The 18,222-nt window shown below is 53.7% G+C and overlaps 1 protein-coding gene and 1 long non-coding RNA gene across 6 annotated transcripts in view, besides 9 other annotated features; one reads left to right on the top strand and one right to left on the bottom strand.

The window, feature by feature from the left end:
• The window catches only part of KCNQ1 (potassium voltage-gated channel subfamily Q member 1), a 404,098-nt gene that overhangs the window by 145,781 nt on the left and 240,095 nt on the right, over window positions 1-18,222 (bottom strand). The gene's annotated exons all lie outside the window — the stretch shown is intronic.
• Window positions 1,891-3,130: an enhancer, noted in NCBI's record as "nonconserved acetylation island sequence 52". NCBI's record gives its function as "activates a minimal heat-shock promoter by reporter assays in Jurkat T cells {active_cell/tissue: Jurkat}" and the evidence as "EXISTENCE:reporter gene assay evidence [ECO:0000049][PMID:17135569]".
• Window positions 1,891-3,197: a biological region, named in NCBI's record as "nonconserved acetylation island sequence 52 enhancer".
• Window positions 2,848-2,917: a silencer, noted in NCBI's record as "silent region_3073". NCBI's record gives its function as "represses an Ori minimal core promoter by ATAC-STARR-seq in GM12878 lymphoblastoid cells {active_cell/tissue: GM12878}" and the evidence as "EXISTENCE:reporter gene assay evidence [ECO:0000049][PMID:35858748]".
• Window positions 2,928-3,197: a silencer, noted in NCBI's record as "silent region_3072". NCBI's record gives its function as "represses an Ori minimal core promoter by ATAC-STARR-seq in GM12878 lymphoblastoid cells {active_cell/tissue: GM12878}" and the evidence as "EXISTENCE:reporter gene assay evidence [ECO:0000049][PMID:35858748]".
• Window positions 3,331-18,222, top strand: part of KCNQ1OT1 (KCNQ1 opposite strand/antisense transcript 1) — a 91,667-nt gene continuing 76,775 nt past the window's right edge. The window contains exon 1 of the long non-coding RNA NR_002728.4: window positions 3,331-18,222. This exon is cut by the window's right edge and continues 76,775 nt beyond it. This is a non-coding gene — a long non-coding RNA (KCNQ1 opposite strand/antisense transcript 1).
• Window positions 9,587-10,454: an enhancer, noted in NCBI's record as "OCT4-NANOG-H3K27ac-H3K4me1 hESC enhancer chr11:2714101-2714968 (GRCh37/hg19 assembly coordinates)". NCBI's record gives its function as "activates a minimal SCP1, AML or CMV promoter by ChIP-STARR-seq in naive H9 embryonic stem cells {active_cell/tissue: H9 hESC(naive)}" and the evidence as "EXISTENCE:reporter gene assay evidence [ECO:0000049][PMID:30033119]".
• Window positions 14,050-15,010: an enhancer, noted in NCBI's record as "H3K4me1 hESC enhancer chr11:2709545-2710505 (GRCh37/hg19 assembly coordinates)". NCBI's record gives its function as "activates a minimal SCP1, AML or CMV promoter by ChIP-STARR-seq in naive H9 embryonic stem cells {active_cell/tissue: H9 hESC(naive)}" and the evidence as "EXISTENCE:reporter gene assay evidence [ECO:0000049][PMID:30033119]".
• Window positions 16,907-17,076: an enhancer, noted in NCBI's record as "experimental_21071 CRE fragment used in MPRA reporter constructs". NCBI's record gives its function as "activates a minimal promoter by MPRAs in K562 erythroleukemia cells, with activity observed for both the introgressed and non-introgressed 11:2707564 variant alleles {active_cell/tissue: K562}" and the evidence as "EXISTENCE:reporter gene assay evidence [ECO:0000049][PMID:34662402]".
• Window positions 16,907-17,897: a biological region, named in NCBI's record as "H3K4me1 hESC enhancer GRCh37_chr11:2706658-2707620".
• Window positions 16,935-17,897: an enhancer, noted in NCBI's record as "H3K4me1 hESC enhancer chr11:2706658-2707620 (GRCh37/hg19 assembly coordinates)". NCBI's record gives its function as "activates a minimal SCP1, AML or CMV promoter by ChIP-STARR-seq in naive H9 embryonic stem cells {active_cell/tissue: H9 hESC(naive)}" and the evidence as "EXISTENCE:reporter gene assay evidence [ECO:0000049][PMID:30033119]".

Below are 18,222 nucleotides of genomic sequence, written 5' to 3'. Positions count from 1 at the left end.
GCCACCAGGTGCCCAGGCTCTCTGTCTCACACCCACCCCTGCAGCCTTGAGTCCCAAGAAGGTGACAAGGTGCAGGCGCCAAATTTCAAAGCCTTCCACAACCCACAGAACAATTCAGAAAGGGAGCTGGCCGTGACTGCAGCCCCCTCCCAGAATTCTGCCATGGTGCCCAAGGCCAGCCCTGGGCTCACCTCCCAGCCTGCCTGGCAGCCCCCATCTGCCTCTGGGGCTGGCCTGGAGTCCGCCCAGCCTCACATGCTTCTCTAGCCAATTCCCACGTGTCTCTTGTCGCCCGACGAGACAACAAACCCCTCTCAGTCTCGGCCTGTTTTCCTCTCCACTCTTCCCCCAAAGGACTAGAGGAGGCGGGAGTGGGGGCACACAACAGGTGCGCTGGGCTGGCAGGCGGCGCTGGCTGATTGACGGCACCCCGTGTGTGGCGAGGGGGTGAGGAGCAGAGGACATAGGACACAGAACTGTCCTTCCTGACCACGTCTGGTGAGCTGGTCACAAACAATAGTGACAGGCTCCTTGGCCTGGCAACCCCACTGCTAAGAGTACTCAAGGAGACCTCACACAAGCACACAAGGTGAGGTGCCCATGGAATATCACAGGCGGGGAATTTGTCAGGGAAAAATCCAAGTGCCCAGGAGCTTGGGGTCTGAGGTTCCAGGGTTAGGTAGAGGGTGGAGGCAAGCCCAGAACATGAAAATCTATATAAATGAATCAACTACTTGTAAGATATGTCCCCATCCAGGCCCACAATTAGAACCCACAGTTTTGTTAAGTGTAAGACCAAATAAGCTCAATTTTCATGACTTTACAAATCAGTTTTCAAGATAAAAATCCTAACCAACACCCTTTGTCACTCTTTAGTAGGAGGGTGGACACCATTTTAAGTGAAATTGATTTAGGGAGCTTTTCAGCCTGTGTTCGACATCCTTGGAGAACACAACAACAAAGGCTGGGAGACAGCTCTGTGTCCAAGAGCGAGGACTGAAGGAGTCCACCAGGCTACCTCCTCCATCTGATGCAGCTAACAAAGGCCCAAAGAAAAATGGCCACGTTTCGAAAATCTGTCTTTCCCACCAGAATGTAAACCCCACATGAGTGGGACTTTTATTCTGGTGAAATCTGTGAAATGACTCTGAAGACCTGGGATCCTGCTCCCCTGACCTCCTGGGGAGGTAGAAATGGACATGCAGGGAGGGTGATCAGGGGAGGATTCTGGCCTCCTGAGGAAGGCTGAGGAAGGCCAGAGGAGGCCTGGGGGCCACAGTGAGGCTGGAATTGAGCTGCACCCCAAGCAGCAAAAAGGAGCAGGACAGGGGCCTGAGGCCACCCTCAACTCAACATTCCTGACCCTGTCTTCTCACATAATCTCTCTCGTTTCCTATCTCAATGGCTCCAAGAGGCTGTCAGCATCACCTCCATCCTACAGGCGGGGAAATGAGACTTGCAGGTATCTCTGCATTGCAGAGTCCAGGCCAGGGTCAGGACTCCAGCCCTGCCCTGCTCTTTTTGGTCAGGGGCAGAGAATAATAGTGGTCACTGAGTGGGAGTTGTGATCCTTTGGATGTCAAGAGAGAGGCTGGGCACAGAGGAAGCAGGCAGACAGGCAGCTGATAATCTGTCCTGAGGAGGCAGGAAGGTGGGAAAGCCACTTGGGAGCTGAAGTTCCAAGCTCCATTTTCCCCTCAGACTTCACTTCTAAAACACAAGTTCAAAGATAGTAACTATCAAGAATTTCAAGACAGTGACATTATAGCGTGAAACCCTGAGTCTGGGGTGCACCTGAGCACTGGCTCTGAGTGATGGCACTGGTTGCACAGCTGCCTCTCGGACAGGCAGATGACAAAAACTTCCCAGCTAGATAGTGAGGGTGGACTGCGCCCTCTGATCAGACACATGAACTCCCTGGGCCAGTGCGAAGGGACAGGCGCCCAGGGGATGTGTCACTTGTGCCCAGATTGCCTGTGGGCTGAGCAGGAGGCAGGGAGTGGACTCATCTGGGCGTCGTTGCTGAAGGCCTGAAAGGAATCACTTGCTGCCTGAAAAAATGACACCATTTTCTCTTTCTCTTCTGGGCTGAAGAACAACAAAACCCCCAACCCGGTCACCCTTGGAGAGAGATTCCTGGCTCTCCCGTAGACGTATATTTTCGGCAGAGGCAGTGAAGATGAATGGCCTCCTTGCGTGCCTTGGTGGGGGGACGGCTGGCTCGCTTGGCTGGCTCCAGCCTCCCCCTTCCTCCTGTGTTTGAGGTCAACCCTGGGTTGGGGTTGTAACAACTTTCGAGAACATACCCAGAGTCCTGCATTCCAACACTGTTTTTGCAGTCCACATGGAAGGGCCAAACGGCCCCCAGCCTTGCCAGGGAAGCCTCAGGGTGTGAACTTCTAGAGGGGGCTTTTGTGACCCAGGCTTTTGTCCCCGGAGTTTATGGCAATGCTTGGCATTCAGAAGGCGCGCGCCAGCGGCGCGGAGGGGACGGACAAGGGGAGGGGCCGGCAGACGCGGTCAAGTGTCACGCCCGGATGGGGGATGGGAGGTGGGCAGGGCGGGCCCGGCCGGGCGCTGGCAGGCGCGGGGCGCCCTCGGCGCTGCCCTTTGCCAGGTGGGTGGCCTGGCATGTCCCGGCCACCCCTGCCACTCACCCCCTGAGGTCCCAAGTCCTCAGGGGTGAGCGGCAGACACGGGTGTTCCAGGCACAGCAGTGGGGGCTTCAGAACATCCCGATCCCCTGCATGGACCCGCTGGGAGGGGGGAAAACGCCTCCCGCACCCGGTGCCACGGCGGTGGAGACCTTGCCCGGGTTCGAGGGTCGCTGCAGCGGCGCCGGCGGAGGGGCTGGTCTCGGGCGTGGCCTGGACGCCCACAGGCCTCCACACCGAGGGCCCACAGCAGTGTCGGGGTGCGGCCGCTGTCCTCACGCGGTCACCCCGGGGTGGTGAACACATCACGCAGAGAACTGGCCCGTGTCTCCAGCTCACCCCGGCGATGCCAACGCTGAGGCTGGCGCTGGCCCCGGCCCCCGGTGGTGCTCAGGGACGACGGGTGGGGGCAGGGAGGGCGGCGGCTCGCGCCACCTCACACCCAGCCAGTGCCTCATGCGGCGCTGGACCCGCTGGGCCAATCTGAGCCCGGGTGGCATCAAAACGAGACTCTTTCGGCCAATGACAGGACACGGCACATCACTTTCCGCACCCAGCCAATCCGTGCAGCAGCCCGCCGCAAGCCTTCCCCTGCTGCCGCCCAATCAGCAGGTGGGGGGCGGTCGCCACGTCGGCAGCGGCGGGGGCAGTCGGAGCGCTGCCGCAGTCTCCAGGCAGAACGGTCGCCGCGTCGCCTCAGCACGGACCTCCAGGGAGCTCCTCAGCAAGATCCTGCCAGGGCGCCCCTCAGCGCGATTCTGCCGGGGTGCCTCTCAGCGTGGTCCTCCCCGGGGCTCCTCAGCACGATTCTCCCGGTGCGCCCCTCAGCGCGGTCCTCCTCGGTGCGTCAGTCATCGTGGTTCTCCCCGGCGCGCCCCTCGGCGCGGTTCTCCTCGGGGCTCCTCAGCGCGGCGCTCTTCTGGGGGCTCCTCGGCGCAGTTCTCCCCGGGGACTCCTCGGCGCCGTTCTCCTCGGGGCACCCGGGGCTTTTCGGCGCGGTTCTCCCCGGGGGTTCTTCGGCGCGGTTGTCCCCGGGGGTTCTTCGGCGCGGTTCTCTCCGGGGGCCTCTCGCCGCGGTTCTGTTCTCCCCGGGGGCTCCTCAGCATGGTTCTCCTCCGCGCGGTCCTCCCTGGGCCTCCTCAGCGCGGCACTCTCCTGGGGGCTCCTCAGCGCGGCACTCTCCCCGGGGGCTCCTCAGCGCGGCACTCTCCCGGCGGCTCCTCAGTGCGGTTCTCCCAGACTCTCCTCAGCGCGGCCCTCCCCATCTCTCTGGGAGGGTTTGAACACGGTCAGCACGGACCTGGGCGGACGGCGCGGGACGGGTGATCACTGGCGTTGCTGAGGTGAGCTGTGTGCCCCGCGGCCGTCCCAGATCACAGGCGTCAGCAGTGCAGCCTGGCCTGGGCAGTGCGCTCCCATCTGCACCTTATGGACAGCGTGGCCAGGGTCGAGGTCCGAGTTCCTGGCCGCGTCCCAAGGATCGGATTCCGGGTCTATAGTTCTCATGGTGGTTCAGAGTGGGCTGAATTGGGATTGGAGTCTGGAATCCGCATCGTGGTTCTGAGTCCGCGCTATTGGGATGGAAGTTGGGAATCCATGTTGTGGTTTTGAGTCAAAGCCCGAATTGGGACCGGAGTCGGAAATCCACTTAGTGGTTCTGAGTCAGGGCCCGAATTAGGATCGGAGGTGGGAATCCCCGTTGTGGTTCTGAGTTAGGTATCCTAGTTGGGATCAGAATTCGGGTCTAGGGTCCACATCCTGGCTGGGAGTTTGCCTGAGTTGGGATCTGAGTAGTTGGGGTCCCAGTCAGTCCGGGTCTGGAGTCCGCATGGTGGTTTTAGGTAGGGCCTCATTAGGGACAGAGGATCGGGAGTCTGAGTTGGGGACCTGAATCCCGGTCTGGAGTCTGCATCATGGCTCTGAGTTGAGATCCAAGGGAGGTCCGAGTTGGCGACTGGAGTCAGGGTCTGGAGTCTGTCTTTGGGTAGAGGTTCTGAATGGGGGGCTCTGAGTTAAGAGATTGGGATTGGGGTTAGAGGTCTCAGTGGGGTATGGGAGTCAGGAATTGAAGTCGAAGTTCTGCCTCTAGGTGGGGATTCTGAGTCAGGAATTAGGGGGCGAAGTAAAGGTTGCAGTCTGAGTTGGGGGTGGTGATCACCTGCCAGGTGAGAGGTAGTGGTAGAAGTCTCTTGGTCATATTGGAGATGAGAGTTGATCAGATGCAGGTCTCAGTCTGGGTAGTAGGCTTGAAGGGCCACCACTATGTTCAGATCCCAGTACCCCACTGTGGTCCCTGAGCAGGTCAAATAGCCTTTTATATAAAATTGAGAGTAAGAGTGCCTTCCCACAGCACTGTTCTGGTTATGAAAGAGAATAATTCATCCAGGTAGAATAGTTCTGTCTTAGATTATCACAAAGTATAAAAACTTTCCTGATAATATCCACATTTGATGTGCATTTACCAGTTCTTTCTTTACTGTGGTGCCCCTTTTGCTAGACCAAAAGCTCCCAACGAGGAACTCTGTTTTGTTTTCTGCTGCCTGCTCTGTACCCAGCCAAGAGCCTGATACACAGCCTTACTCAGTCAGTACTTGAAGGAAAGCAGGCAGGCAGGATTAACCAGATTTCTATGGTGTCTCAAATGATCCATTTCTGCACCTGTTTTCCAGATACTCAGTAGGAGAAAAATTTAAGGATTGAGTTGCTTGATTATGGGTGTATTTTAATGTGTTTCCTAACATGCTGAGGAGAAAAGTGGGTCTGTTTCAGGATTTATGCTCCAGCTAGAGGGATTTTTTAAAATTGCGAATCAGAGCATGTCCAAATTCAGATAGAAAGCACAAGAAAACTATAAAGAATTTCCCTTATGAATGTAGATGCAGAAGTTCCTTGTACAATGCTAGCTAACTGAATCCAATAATATGTATTAAACAACAATTCTTAAACAAGTGGGATTGCTCTTAGGAATGCAAAGATGATCCAATATCAGAAACTTTATCCATGTAATTCACATTAAGAGGCTACAGGAGAAAAACCATATGGTTCCCTCAATAGAGGCAGAAAAAAATGATGTGATAAAGTTTAACGCCTATGTGTGATTTTGGGGTAGTGGAGTACACCACTTAGCAAGCCAGGACTAGAGAGGAACTTCTTCAACTTGATACAAGTTATAAACCAAAACTTAACTTTTCAGTAAACTTGATAGAGAAATTAAAAGTGTATCATTCTCTTTAAGATAAGGAGTAGGCCAAGGATGTCATCCTGGCCATACCCTAATACAAGAAAAAGAAATGGGGATGTGAGGATCAGGTAGGAAGTGATAAAACTTAGTGTAGCTCATAGGGTTGATGGTCTCCATAAAGATTCTCAAACATTTTGGTGTTACGACTTGTTGTATTCTTAAAAGTTATTGAAACCCCCAAAGGGCTTTTCTTGATAGAGATTCTATCTGTTGATAGTTACCATCTTAGAAGTTAAAACTAAGAAATGTTTAAAGCAGAACTATACAAGCACATATTCCACTGGGGTCATGGTGTGCTGCCTCTGGAAAACTCTTTATCTTTGTGAGAATGAAAGAAAAGGCAAATAATGTCGAGTATTATTATGAAAATGTTTTTGACCTTTCCTGAAAGGGTCTGGGGGGCTCTCTGGAATCCCCAGACTACACTTTGAAAATTACTGGGCTACATGGAAAAAAAAAATTAAGGAACTTAACAACTAAAGAGAGATTTCAGATTTCAGAGAGGTTTTGGATATAAGATCAGTGTACTCAAAACAAAAAACAAAAACAAACCACATTTCTTTATGCCAATAGCAACTGACTAAAAAAAAGCATAATAGAGATTAGGACAGCAATCAGAATAGCAGCAAAATTTATACCAGTCTAGGAATTAACAAAGACGACGACTTTTATGGAAAAAATTTTAAAACTCTATTGGAGGATATAGAGGGAGATCTTTCCATATGCAGAGACATTTTATTTTCTTGAACAGGGCAACTTGGCATTAGAATGACGTCAGGATTTTCCAAATCTGTTAAGTTCAACAGGACTCCACTCAAACTTCCAGTTGGAGGGCTTGAGTAATTTAACAAACATATTCTAAAATGTATGTGGAAGAAAAATATTTGTAAATGCCAACTGAACTTTTGAAAAGGAGAGCAGAGGACTTCTGCTGGCAGATACCAGGGCACACGCCAACTTCAGCAATCAGAGCGGTGTGGTGACAGAGGCCCAGAAGAGAGCTCAGAGGTAACTCCAAGTCTAGAGGAAGGGGACATGTGATAAAGGTGGCACCACATATCAGTGGGGACTGTTCAGAAGATGATGTTGGAAAGCCAGCCCTAAAATGGAGGAATAGGAATATGGATTCCTAACTGAGCCCCTAGGAAAAGTAGACTCCAAATGGACTAAATATTTGAAAGCAAAAGGTAGTTGCCATTTGTTTAATAGGAGAAAAAATGAATAATCTCCAGGGCCAGGGTGGCCGTGGGGTTCTTAAACAGGATCCAGAAAGCACAAACCTCAAGACTAAAATGTATGAACTTGAATGCATTAATGATTATGGATTAAGGATTTCTGTTAAATAAATCCATCATGGCAAGGGTCAAGACTGTTTTCATAATAATACTAAGGAAACAATTTGCGTTTTTCACTTTTACACTCATGAATGTAACTTTGCCATGACTCATTACAAGATATTTGAAACAATTAAAGCTGAGGAGGGAACAACAGCTAAAATATACCAGAAAGCACCACAAATCATTAAGAAAAAGGTAGGAAGATTGCCAGTTTGCAGGAGGGTTAACAAACAGATGAAAATTTGCCCAAGCTAATCAGTTATCAGAGAAATGTAAATGAAAGCAACAGCTATTCTTCATAGGAGAAGCATTAGAAAGTAGGATAAGGCCAAGTGTTGGCAGAAGGCAAGGAACAAGCCTCCCTGTGTGCTGCAGGTGGGGACGGAGACAGGCACAGACGTTCTGAAGAGCTGGCCAACACTTCTTCCTCAAATAAAATATTTTATACCTGTGGCCCAGCAGTTTCCCTCCTAAGTAAACATGCTGGAGCAGTTCTCACCCAGAACAACGAGAGGCTGTGTGTGTGCATGCTCAGGGCAGCATGGCCCATAGGGGTGGGCAGTTGGAGCTGGTCACTGTGGTTAGGAGCAGGGGACTAGATGTACACTTCACAAGATAGAGACGCGTGGAAACACAGTGCTGAGTGACACAAATGCCAAACAGAAAGAGGGCCTCAGTACATGACTGTGTATTTAAATTAAAATTACACACCACCCAGACACGCAGTACTAGGGAGTGCTCGTGAGTGCACACACACACACACAATGATATAAATAAATTACCCTGGAGAAGCTGTTTGTGTAGGGAGGAGAGCAAGGATAGAGGCTAGAGATGAAGTGGAAAAGCATGGAGAGGAAGAGAGCGGTGACTTTATGCAGACCCTTACAGGGTGACAGTGTTTCATAGGCTGAGGGCTGTGATCAACTCTGTGCAGAGTCCCAAAAGCCAAGAACCAACGAATGAATGTGCCTCCATGACTCTCCTGCCAGATACCCTCTAGTGGCTTCTATTTCTAGGAAATAAAATTCAAATTCCATCAGGTTTTTACAAGATCTGCCCTGCTTACCTCTCTGACCACTGTCCTCCCTCACTGAGCTTTGGCTCTGCCAGCCTTCTTCTTCTTTGTTAAATCTGCCAAGTATCCCTCCTGCCCCAAGGCCTTCACCACCTCTGCCTGGCTTGTCTTTTCTGGTGATCTTCCCTTGACAATTCCTTCTTCTTATTTAAATCTCACAGGAAATTTTGCTCTGACCTGCCATATCTGTCATCCCCTTCAGTCACTCACTAGCTGACGACTACCTTTCGAGTCTCTGCAAAGCACAGGCTACGCTTTTCTAGTTCCTTAGACATCTACTTATTTGTTGGCTGCCTATCTCTTCCACCGGAAGAGAGGCCCCAAGAGAGCATATCTGTCTTCCGTATAGGGTCCGCACATGGTGGGTGTGTCACAGATTTCTGTTGAATGGTTTCATTCATTTATTGAACGAAGGAAGAGGCCAGGCCAGGAAAGTGTGCCTCCATTTTCACAACTCAGTGAGAAAGCAAATAGCATGTCAAAATCTGACCCCTTGCAACCAGGGTTTCTTAGCCAGCCACACTGGTAATGCTTGGGACAGGATGTATCTTTGTTGTGAGGGGCTGTCATTTATATTGTAAGATGTTTAGCACCCTGCCTGGTCTCTACCTAGTTGATATTAGTAATTCTCCCATAGTCATGATAGCCAAAAATATCTCCAGACATTGCCATATGTCCCCTGGGGGGCACCGCAGATGACAACCACTTCCTTAGAACAGCTCTTGGGACTGGGATGGTGTCTCTGCTGTGGCTCTTTAAAGGCAGCAGGCCCTGGCTTGCATCCTGCCACATCTAACACCTATAGCCTCACCACCTCGGTGAGAAAGACCCTGGCCCAGGCCTGGCCAATCAGAGTACCCTCTTCCCTGGTCAGCAGTATAATTTGTTTGGCAAGCACTTCCAGTCCCACAACCTATGGGCTGCCACCCAGAGGTTTAGTTGGAACTACGTGTCAGCTGCCGTCCCTCAGCCATCTATGGCATGGGCACCTGTGGCTTGACCAAGTTGGAGGTGGCCTAGAGAGGCCGGGCTGGGCCTGCTCACCTTCTCCAGTTAGTGCAGACTGATGAATGAGTGGTTCTCAGCGGATACCGGATCCAGGTTTGCAGTACACTCCAGGAGGAGGACGAGTAGGGTTTCCCTCAGAGCAGGCCTGGATGGGAGGGCAAGGGGTGGCCTCTAATACTGCCTTTCCTTCCGGTGCCTTTATCAGCCTGTGCCATGCTCCTCTGAACTGGCCGGCCCCAGCATGTCCAGGTTACTGGCAGGAGCCTGTATAACCCAGGGTTCCAGTCACACCAGCCAGGAAGGCCCATGAGGCTGGAGCGCACCCAGTCTCTGGCTGCTCTGTCTGCGGAACTAAAAGCCTTTCTCCCAGAGCCTTTCCTACGGCTGGGCGAAGCTCTTGTTTGCAATTTAAATGTGGCCTCATTTATGGAAGAATCCCTGCTCCTCCGAAAAGCCTTGGGCTCAACCTCCCTAGCAGCCCGGGCCTCAGCCAGGAGAAGAAATGGATCTAAAAGGCCTTTCTCCTGCTAATTGTAGCAATTAGCATTAGAGAATGGGGACTCGATGGGGGGCCAGCGCCTGGCAAAACAAGCTTATTCCCAGCTTAGGCCCAGGCCCAGCTCCACACACTGCTGCTTGGCCAGACTCGGCCCCCACCCAGGGTCTGGTTGGCTTCAGGGCAGGGAGAGAGGGCCCAGGCCTGTGGGTGCTAAGAGCAGTTGTGGAGGGTGTGCATCTGAGTTGTTAAGCCTGGTAGCTGTACAGGTAGCCCTGGGCTATGACTTGTGGTCCTCTCAGAAAAGGGTCTGACTGGAACGCAGAGCCAGACCAGATATTCATGAGTGGATCACAGAGTGTAGACTGAGGGCTATCTGGTGATTGACAGAAAGTAGTCTTGGGGCAAATGACTCTTAAAGAGTAAGGAGCCATTCCCCTCTATGGCTAACTGGATGCCTTTCTCTCCCCCTGCTCCAGAAAGGACTTCCTGTTCCTTCACTGAGCGTGCTTGCTTATGAGGCTTCTGGAAACCAGGAGAGTTCAGTGGGCCTCATTATTGAGCGTATGGGCAGGACAACCTGCTTGGGACATAGGCCATGCTACAGTTGATTTTAGCCAGCTTGCTGCATCTACACAGCACAGTGCCTTCCCAGGCAGTGAATTATGTCTAACAGGCAGGGGAATGATCATTGCCTCATGTTAGGGATGCAGTCATTCAAGAAATATTTGTCAAACACTCAGCAGGTACTAGACCCTGGCCCAGAGGGAGGGATTTGATAGGAGCAGGGACCTGCCTACCCTCCCAGGGTTAGTGGACAAAGGGGAGAAAGACTAACTAATGTTGAAGGACCGTTTGCACCCTGAGGGGAGTGCTGAGGCCTGGGAGCACAGCAGGTGTATAGCAGGAACCCACTGGAACTAGCCTGGGGTCTGAAAAACTCCCTTGGGGAAAGTGGCAGGGGCAGGCCAAGGGCCCTCTGGTGGTAGGGAGCCTGTGAGCACCTGGGATGGAAAGAAGCCAAGCATCTGAACTACCAGAAAGGCAGCTGCAGGATTAAGCAAGACCCACAGGTCTCTAAACTTTGAAAGGATGTCTGTCCACTGAGTAGATAATTGATTGGAATGGGGCAGGGGATGTGAGAATGCCAGTTAGGAGATGCCTGCAGTACAGAGAAATGGTGGCCTATCAGGACAGTGGCAATAGGGATGGAGGGAAGCAGGGAACCTCTAGAACTATGGATGGGTGAAGTAAGCCTGGCTTGGTGATGGGCTTGAGGTGATGGGCAGGTGGTGAGGAAGCGGGTGTATCGGAAATGACCCCAGAACTTCTGACTTGTGCCACTGAAAGGATGGGTGACACTGAAAGGACAGGGGCCTTCAGTAGAGTGGGCTATAAAATGATGGAGGCTGTGGAGAGGAGGTGGGGGCAGGTGACTGGAATGTGGGTCTGGCTGGGTTGGAGAGACATTTGGGGGGTCAGGGCCTCACAGGTGGTCTGGAAGCCCTTGGTGCTGAGGGAACAGCTTAGGGAAATGGTTTGCATAGAGAAAGGCACTGGCATTTAGTGGCCATGCCAGAAGGGAAAACCTGCCAAGGAGACTGAGGATAGAGCCAGAAAGATGGCAAGAAAGCCAGGAGAACTGGAGGGATGGAAAAGAGGACCTAGGGGTCATGGTCCTGGCAGAGGTCACATTGGATCCAGTGCTTGTGATTCTCTGATTGCTGGCAGTGGATGGCCACTGGCCTGCAAATGGCCCTAGTGGAATGTCCCCTGCCTGTGTGGCTCCCTGTGGGCTGCCTCTCCCCTGGACAGATGGGGAGAGACCCCTTCCCCACCTGGTTCTCTGTTTCACCCTTGGAACTGTGGCGGTAAAGAGGACCTCCCCACAGTACGTGCAGGGAACAAGCTAGGTTGACTCCCTCAGGGAGGCCTCGTCCTTGCTGAGGTATTTCATAACCTCAGGATAGAGAAATCCCCCCAACTTTAATGCAAAGCCAAGCAAGCTGAAAAATGGCCTTGAATAGGCTGAGATGAAAAAACAAAGAGGCTGTCAACATCAGAGACTCAGTGGGGGCAGGGAGCTTCAGTGGACTCCCCACAGACAGCAGTTCCTGGGCTTCTATGCCCAGACCCAGAGGCCTGAGCCCAAGATGTCAGGATGGGTGGTCACTGTAAGTGCAGTGGATTGTAGCTCAGGGGTGAGACATCGCCTTTTTCTTGTCAGCTCTCCTTCCTGATTAGTGGCTCAAACAGCCTTCCGAGACTCAAGGGGTTAACTGCAGATCCTCTAACTCCTCCACTTGCTAATTTTTAAACACAGCTGAGCTCTGAGCACCCCTCCCAAGGCTGTGAGAGGCCAGAGGCCAGCACAGACTCTGCACCAGGTCTGCACAGCCTCCACCCCTACTGTTGTCAGGAATCTGCAGGCATCTAGAACAAAGGTGCCTCCATTATTTCCCTCACCCAGCATATCCTGATACCTGAGCCAAGAGTTCACCCAGAGCTTTTGCCCACTTCATTGATGGTCTGGTGGGCTTTTGTTGACACATACCCGTGACTCCCAAATGAACCTTTCAGGTTGGCTTAAAGCCGCTGGGACCTACACATGACAAAACCCAGACGGAAACAGTGGCTTACACTCCTGTGTCCCTAAAGGTACCTGTTCCTAACAGTGGGAGTGCCAGAGCCTGGAAGCTGGAAGCCAAGGAGACAGGGACCTCCCTCCTGCTGACCCCCTGCCAGGCCACATCCACCTAAGGGATTTGGGATCATACTCCATCTTCAACCACTGGGATCAAATGGAAAGCCCTCAGGAATTCTGAGAGACAGCCCCTATACCTATGTGCACTGACACACATACACTGACAAATACGCATTCTGACACATATATGAACATGCACATATGTGTGCCCCACTCCCTGCCAGGAGGTGGGTTCTGTCCCATCTTTGACATGTTACTTCTTGTCCTTCCCTAGGCCCAGTGGCACTTTCTTTGTGATAGGTGCTGAGACCCCCCCGACTGGGCCCAGTGGCTGTTCCCAGGACCCAGTCTCTGCTCTTATCTTAACCCAGCTCTAGCTCCCAGGACCCCAGCCTTTCGCAGGGAGAGAGATAGCTCTTTTGGTCTGGCACATGTTCCATGCCAAGTAGTGGAAACAGCAGCTGCAGGGCAGCCTCAGACTTGACATCATTTAATCCTTGTGACAATCCTACAGGGAGGAAGACACTACACATATGTGCAGATGCAGCAAGGAGCAGCTCAGCCACATGGAATGACTTGCTTGAGGTCACCAGGCACTTGACACAGCAGAGTTTAGCCCAGTCTCTGGAGAGACCAGCCTTCCACATCCTGTCATGCTGGGGAGGGCTGCCCGCTTTTTGTCCCTGCTCCCCCAGTTCTAACCCCGGAAGAGCGATTGTCCCTGCTGTGCCTTCAGCCCAGACAGAAGCAGGCTAGGAGAGGGGAGGAGAGGCAGGGCTGGCCCTCGGAAGGCTCACCTTCCTCAACAGTTCTCTGCTTGGGCAAAGGTCTTCCAAGCAGCCAGGCTCTGAGGCTAGTCACTGTCATCGTTGGGTGAGGCAGCCTGGGAGTACCAGAAGTTGGAGCAGGTGGGAACCTTCCCCAGGGATGGGGCTGGATAGGCAGGGGTGGGTGCTAAGTGGCAGGCCACAACCAGGCACCTGGGAGGGCCAAGCACCACACTGAGAACGCAGTGCTTCCCCTCCCCTCCTAGGCTGCTCAGGAACCCATCAGTCTCCTGTAAACAAATGAGACTAAGTCTCTGGCACTCTAGGCCCAGGTGCAAAGGACAGCTGCCCCTGCAGCTACTCACTCTGCCCTGGCCCTCTCAGGAGGCTTGTGACCTCTGCACCTGCTGGCTTGTTTTGTTCCTAAAATACCCGGATCCTTGAGAATCTAGAAGACACCACTGCTAACAGATTTCCACATCATTCATTCTGTTCTTCCTGTGCAAGCTTCATGCTGGGACAGGGACCATAAAACAAGGTGACCCAAAACCTTCAGCAGAATGCAGGTAGGCAGAGCAGAGGTCTCTGGGAGTGTCATTCCAAGGCAGTGTCTTCCTCCTCCCCTATGCTCCCCATTTCCCAAGAGTGGGCTTCTTCCACCCCACTCAAGCACCTCTTCCCAAGGCTGACCTAAAGGCCTCAAGCTCTGCGGATAGGGGCAGTCCTGAGGTGGCATTGAGTCTTAGGGTTGGAGTGGGAGATATCTGTGCAAAGGCTGATAGGAACGTCCTCCAAGGGCTGACTTCAAAGCTTGGCCTAAACCACTGCATCAAAGTCAGCAAGCTGAGCTGTTTGCACAGAAAAGGAGGAGGAGCAGGCCCTTGAGCCACCTGTAGCTCTCCTTAGGGTCTCAGGCTTTCACACCAGGGCAGGCCTTGGGCCAGACTACCCAACTTCCAGGCCGGATGTGCCACCGGGGAGGAGGAGGTAACTGCCCCTCAAAACCCTGCAGCCCAGGGCTCCAGGATTCCAACCCAGGGACCTGCAGGCTCCCCTGCTCTCCAGATCAGACCCCTACTCTCAGAGCCCTAGGCCCAGTGGGTGACAGCCTGTGAGACAGGCCTGTGTGGGGTGGCCCTAGCCCCACCTCAGCTTCCAACCTGACCTTGCTGCATGACCTCTGGCCCAGCCCTCTCCACCTGGAGTGCCATCTCTCTTTGTGGGATGGGCCAGGTGGGCTGTGTGTGGGGGAGGGCAAGTATATAGGTGTGGTATAGGTGGAAACTGCCACAGTAACCAGCAGCAGCTCAGAGCCGGGCCACCCAATTTGTATGCCAGCCCCAGCTGGGCCTAGGCACGTGGTGTGTGGAAATGAACGAAGCAGGCAGCCCTATGTTTAGGAGGCAGGTCCAGAGCTCACCCAGGCACAGCACAAGATGAGTGCCTGGCCTCAGTGAGCGAGCACTGGCTGCTATGAGGCTGTGGTGTGGAACCTTGACACTAGGGCCACTGGCCTGGCTGTGTGACCTCTACCTCATCACCCAGAGCAGGGCAACCAGAGGCAGAGCCTCAGTGTGGTGTTCTCCTGTGAAATAGTGATGGCACAGGCAGGGGCTGGGGCCCAGTGCCTACACAGAGGATCAGCAAAGGATGGCAGTTATTGAAACCTCTACGGGGAAGTTCCCCAGACACGAGAGGAAGACCCCCATGGAAGCTGTGTGTGTGACGTGCTTAGATTTTCCAGAGTCTTCATTTTCCTTGTCTAAACAGAGGTCATGGCGCCTCCCTCTCAGATCAAACAGCCCTGTATGAGTGGCTACAACCTTTGGTGGGCTCAGTGCAGCCCCTCCTGCCCCCTTGCTTGGGAGCTGTCTGCAGAGGCCTAGGGAGCTGCGTGGGGTCTCTCCACCTCAGCCTGTATCCCCACCCCCACCAGGTCCCCTGCCTGACTCCAGCATACCCAGGCCCTAGAAGCACCAACTCCATGGCTGCAGCTGAGTGGAGTGTGTGCCTGCCCAAGCCTAGAGGGGTGCTGACCCCTCCCTCGCACGAGGAGACATCAAAGGGAAGCAGGAAGCAGCGGCCTGGCTGACCCACAGCGGGTGGGAGAAGTGCAGCCTCACAACTGCTGGGGATTTTCCATCCCACCAGGATTTCCGCGGGACACCCCAAGTCCAGCCTTTGAGGCTCCTCAGGAACCAGAGTTTGGCCTGGAGCCAGTTGGGGCAGAGGAGGGGGGCCAGGCTGGGTGGCTTAGGGGTGTGGTTAGGCCTGCTAAGGGGCTCCTCTTCTCAGTCTCCCCATGATTTGCTGGTTACTGGCTTGAAATCTGGGCCCAGACCCATTCCAACACTGAACCCTGAGCTCCCTGAGACCTGGCTGGCAAGGACAGGTCCCAATTTTTACAGGGGCCTGAGAGGAATGGAGAAGGGATCTCTGCCCCTTCCTTTCTCAGTCACACCTCCTTGACAGGGGGTCATCAGAGTGGGCTGTGGTAGGTGCACCAGGGAAGGGACCATACAGAGGAGGCTGGTCTCAAGTCCTAGGGTGCCTGGGATGGCCCTATTGAAATGCTGCAGCAGCTCTTGTGCAGGCAGGGATCTGTATGGACAGCTGGGTGGACACAGGTGCCTACTGACCTCCCAGATCCTTCAGCAGAGCTCAGCCCTGAGTGACAGCCCAAGGCAGACCTGGCTACCTCAGCCTCTGGCTCACAGCCCTCAGCCAGAGCCCTGAGAGGCCTGGGATCTCAAAGCTGCAAGGTGGGAGGCCAGAGGAGAGAAGCCCGGAGCTGGTAGTGATGCTGGCTGAGTGAAAATTGCACATTTCCCAACAGTGTGATGCTCCCTATCCAGCCTGGGCTTTTGGCAGACTTCTGTGCTTTGTGGAGGAAGCTGGCTCAGATTCCTCCCCTCCCTGTGCAGTTTGTGTGTCAAGGTGTACTTGTCACACCCAACTCAGGATATCTTGCATCACTTTGTGGGTCCTTGTCCCCCAGAGCTGGGACTGCTGAGTTTTAGCCCTAAGCTCTTGCTCCCATCTTAGCAAGTCAGGGCCCAGTGTTGTCCTTGCCTCTGCATCAGGATGGTAAGCTGGGCATGCTCCGCATCACGGAGACCTGCATGGACCTGGATTGGGTTGCCTCTATCTTCAGGCTGGTCACTGGGCAGACACAAACCAGGGCCTCTGGCCAGAGGGGACAGTGGCTCTGAGTTACTTGTGCTGCTCTTTAGGGGTGAGCAGGGGCTGCTTGTGCATCATAGTGTATCACAGGGGATGCACATTTACAATTGAAAGCTACTGGTCCTGGGTAGAAGTGGGGCCGAGTAGGACTTCCCAGCCTTGAACATGGGTTTGTCATCCAACTGGGACCCACACTTGATCCAGCGGCCATGCTCTGTGCAGCCTGGGCCTGAGGGCAGCCACGCTCATGTGAAAAGTGCTAGTAGCCAAGCTGCCATTCTAGTCACCACAGCTGTCCTTGCAGGAGCACATTGCCCAGGGCTGGGAGCTGTCATTTCCGTGACGGGAGTGAGACTCAACACTGGGTGAGGGTGGGGGTATCTGTTGGGAATTATTTCAAAACAATTGTGGAAACTTGGCAGTGGAGGGGCTCTGGGCATAGGTATCCACAATATCCTAGTCAGGGGTTGGGGTACCCTGGCTCTGCTGATAAGCCCAAGTGAGCATACTCCTCCCCCAGCTTGGAACAGGTGGGACGGGCCAGGTGACACTAGTGTGGTCTGTGGTCTGGCCTCCCAAGCCAGTGGCAGTACTGGGGTGGCAGACATTTGCTGTGTGCTATCCCAAGGCCTAAAGGTCACACAGCTAGGTTGGAGCAGGGTTTTGGGCAGGATGAGTAGGCATTGCTGTGCTCTCAGAAAGGCGAAGCAAACCCCAGAAGCAAGGGGGCGAGACAGGGCAAAGGCCTACACTTTGCCATCAACTCAGGCCTACTCAATGCTGGCCCTGTCCTTCCCCTGCCCCTGCCCCATCAGATGGTGCGAGCTGGCGGGGCTTAGAGTGAGCCCCCCTGACTCTTCTTGGTGTGGAGTCTGAGGCCCAGAGTGTACAGGCCTCATCCGTGTGACCCAGCAGGAGGATGGGAGAGTGGGCCCAGAACTTGGTCAGGCTCATCCGTGGAGAACAAGTTCTTCCCTAGTCTAGTTGTGGTCTGAGTCCTGGGTGAAGCAGGAGGCAGCCTGGGAAACAGCCTCGTTCTAGTAGGAATCGCATTCTCAGGAACGCTGACTGTGCAGGGCCCTTTCTCACTGCCACCTGGGAGGATGCCTGCCTGCTGGCCATTTCGGCGGACTGTCAGAGCACCCTCCCTGGGGTCCCAGACCGAAGGCCTGAAGTCCACATGGGACCCCTGAACTTCTGGTACCTGTGTGGGCTTGTCCCCTCAACCCTGAGTGGAATGGCAACAGCCAGCTGCAACCCTCCTAGCTTCCTGTCATGTGCTGTATGGAAGGGCCAAGAGCTGTAGTCATCTGCAGATCCTCCCACTGCACCTGTAGGACTAGCGTCTCCTGTCTGGATGTGAGCAACTTGCTGGTGGCCTGTGAGATGGGAGTTGCACTGGGCTTCTGGATAAGGGCTTCTCGTTCAGGTGACAATTCTATGTGAAGGAGACCCATGGAAACACATCTATCCCCTGCCCATGTACCAGGCAGAGATGGTACCTGCCCATGTACCCTCCATGACATGGCTGGGTCCCTGAAACATCAGACAGATCGATACTCTGTGTGCATGTTTGTGGGCAAGACACAGTGGCACGTGTGCCCTGGAGTTTGGTAATGGGAGGACTGAAGTAGTGCCTCCGTGTGTGAGCTGTGCCAGCCATCCCCACGAAGGGGGCATTCCATGCAGATGGGGATCCTCTCCAGGCAGCTTCTTCCACACCTGATTAGCTCTGACCATCAGACCCCCCGTGCCAA

This window comes from Homo sapiens, chromosome 11 (assembly GCF_000001405.40).
Source record: "Homo sapiens chromosome 11, GRCh38.p14 Primary Assembly".
Classification (NCBI taxonomy): Eukaryota; Metazoa; Chordata; class Mammalia; order Primates; family Hominidae; genus Homo; species Homo sapiens.
The sequence above is the reverse complement of the archived record's forward strand: the minus strand, read 5'-3'. Positions and strand labels throughout refer to the sequence as shown.